The 2,862-nt window shown below is 44.2% G+C and overlaps 3 annotated features.

Moving 5' to 3' along the window:
- Positions 1,218-1,719: an enhancer, noted in NCBI's record as "H3K4me1 hESC enhancer chr5:174000161-174000662 (GRCh37/hg19 assembly coordinates)". NCBI's record gives its function as "activates a minimal SCP1, AML or CMV promoter by ChIP-STARR-seq in naive H9 embryonic stem cells {active_cell/tissue: H9 hESC(naive)}" and the evidence as "EXISTENCE:reporter gene assay evidence [ECO:0000049][PMID:30033119]".
- Positions 1,218-2,862: a biological region, named in NCBI's record as "BRD4-independent group 4 enhancer GRCh37_chr5:173999018-174000217".
- Positions 1,663-2,862: an enhancer, noted in NCBI's record as "BRD4-independent group 4 enhancer chr5:173999018-174000217 (GRCh37/hg19 assembly coordinates)". NCBI's record gives its function as "activates an origin of replication core promoter dependent on BRD2, P300/CBP, MED14 and CDK7 cofactors, and independent of BRD4, by STARR-seq in HCT116 cells {active_cell/tissue: HCT116}" and the evidence as "EXISTENCE:reporter gene assay evidence [ECO:0000049][PMID:35650434]".

Below are 2,862 nucleotides of genomic sequence, written 5' to 3'. Positions count from 1 at the left end.
CTGCATTGTCCTCACCCTGTGACACTTCCTCTCCTGGTTATTTGGGATCATCAAGCTGCATTCATCTTTGACTTCTGGGACACCATGCCCAGCCCTTTTCAGGAAACATTACAGAATTCCAGCCTCAGCACTCAAGGGCCTGAGTCACTTAGGGCAGCTCTCTTTACTTCTCTTAGCCTCAGTTTCTTCATGTGTTAAGTGGGGGAAGATGACACTTCATGAGGTTTAGGGAAAATAGTTATGAAAAGCAAAAGCTCCTCTAGTGAAGTAAATATAAGCAGAGCCACTGGAGCTACATAAATCTGGATTCGAATCTTGATTCTAATGCACACTAGCTGTGTATCTTTGTGCGATTTATTACACTTCAATTTCCTCATCTATAAAGGGGATAATGACAATGTTTACCTTATTGTAATTAACTTTGTACCAAGCAAATAATATATGCACATTAATGTAAGTCATACAAGGAAAACAGGCAATAGATGTGATGATAGCTTTGTGAAGTTATTAATATCAATCATTCCTTCTTAGGGGTGAGTAGTGAAGCCATACCTCCTCCCAAATATAATGTAACAGGACAGTTATGAGAAACTTATGTTTTGAAGTAACCTTTTCATAGATGAGAAAGGAAGCCCTTGTTATGAATGGTGGTGCTGGATCTCAACCTCTGTGTGATCCACAAAGCTCTGCCTGCTTCAGGCTCATGTCTTTTCTGGAGCCTGAAGTGTTCTTGGCACATCTTTTATAAAAGTCGGCCTTCCTTTCTTCCTGTTGCAAATTGCATGCACATTTCTGCTCCCTGAGACCAGCCTTCATTTCTCAACCAGCCTTCTTAGCTTCCCCTCTCCCTTCTCCTTAATGAGAATAAGTTGACTTGTAATTAAGGTCATATTTTATGGACCAAGAAAGGCAGTAGCTGATGTGGCTGGGGCGGTACAGCTCCGCTCAGTGTTCCTCTGGTGGATTACCCTTGCGTTGACCATCCGTTGTTGTTTCAGGCTGGAGATAGAAGAATGATTTTGATGGCTTGAAATTAACAACTGGATTTATAGCTTGTAAATAGTCCTTGTGGCGAGATTTTCCTTTTCTGCTGTAATCCCTTCTTCCCATTCAGACCTCATTTATGCATCCCTTGCCAGAAGGATTATCCTCAGAATGGAAAACAAGAGTCTTTCTAGCATTGCAGGCTGCTTCTGCTGAGAAGCCCACAAGCAGCCTCCGTGGGTCTTTGACGTGCCCCAGTTCCGCCCTCTGGAGTGGGAGCAGCTCCGCTGGCCCACCGCAGCCTGGCTGTCTGGGGCCAGCCAAGATAGTGATCACTCACCGCGCACTCTATTTTCTTCTCTCACAGCAAGAAAGTTTCTGACCTCTTCCTATTATTTTTAATCTATCTCTTAACGTAATAGTCACTGTAAAAAGACAGGCAGTTTTCCCAGACAGTCTGGCTGTGATAGTGATGGAGGAGCTGGTTTGGAAAAATGGGAACATTTTCCAAACCGCAAAAGTCAGTCTAAGCTATTAGAGGGGTACTGAGGAGCCTGGCTGACTTTTCCTATCTTCAAATTGCACTTGCTTTTCTGACTCAAATAGGAAATAAGCAGAAGTCACCAGAGATCCCTGCTGGAAAGAAAGTTCCACATCAGAAGCAAAAGAGAGAACAATCCATGTCCAAACAGCTGTTCTGGGCTATTGGCTCTGAGGTGGGTGGATGGGCCCAGTACTAATGAGAAAGTGAGGGGAAGGACCCCGTGTTGGCTTTGTGTAACTCACACAGCTGCTGGGTAGTTGGTGAAGGGGCTTACCTCAAAACCAGTGCCCCAAGATCCGGCATGGGCAATGACATTCAGTCCCGGCCTACGTGTTATCGACAGGAACGTAAGTCTCTCTCCTTTTGCTCTTCCCCTTCCCCCAGCATCAGCCCAAAATGTTTTAGATTAACGTCAGGGTTTTAAATGTGAACGACACGTCAGCAAGCCCCTTAGATGGCATGATTTAGTCTTCTAATGTTGGATGTTTGTAGTGACTGTACATTGTACCAGCACCTTCCTCCCAGTGACATTGACATCACTCTGCTCAGATCAGTTAATTTTCCCATCACCGACTGATTCATTGGGCAGAAACCACAAGTTCACATGCCGAGGCGTGGACTGAACTCTGTGACCCCTCCATTGAAAAGGCAAAACTGTATCACTGTGTTTTCATGCAAGCAGGCACTGGGAAGCAGTTCGCTTTTCTTTCGTTAGATTTTTATTTTCCCTCTTTGTGGCAATGTAACCTTTCATGACGCTTCTTTGTAGCATCCTCAGTTGGAATTGGCCTATGGCAATCAATATTTTTGGAGCTCATTAATGGACTATGCTAAGGTGATTTCCATATACTATTTTTTAAAATTGTCAGAGCAACTTGTTGGAATAGGTGGTATGATCCTTATTGTGCCAAAGATAGGAAAGAAGTTTGGAGAGATTAGGAAATTGTCCAGCTTATAGATGAGCTAAAAATACATTGACTATAAATGATAAATTCCAAAAGAGCATGCACAAGTGTTATGTCCATTCTTCTTCTCTATACCTCTTTACCATGGTCCCTCTCTATCTCTCCTCTCTGGAAACTTCTCTGAGCAGGTTACACAGGAGAAAGGGTGCTGAGGCTTGAGCTGTCCTGACAGGACAGAGGCCAAGTTGATTCTGCAGTGTCGATCCTGCCAGCTGAGACTTGGGCTTCAACACAGCAGGCTTATGACTTGCTCTTTATCATCTGCCTTGAGTTCAAAAGAAAGATGGCAAGCACATACAGCGCCGGGGAGGGACAGATGGACTTCCACAAATGTGAACACACGCACCAGCCTGTGGACTGATGATTTCA

This window comes from Homo sapiens, chromosome 5 (assembly GCF_000001405.40).
Source record: "Homo sapiens chromosome 5, GRCh38.p14 Primary Assembly".
Lineage (NCBI taxonomy): Eukaryota > Metazoa > Chordata > Mammalia > Primates > Hominidae > Homo > Homo sapiens.
Note: the sequence above shows the minus strand (reverse complement) of the source record. Positions and strands in the feature narration are given on the sequence as shown.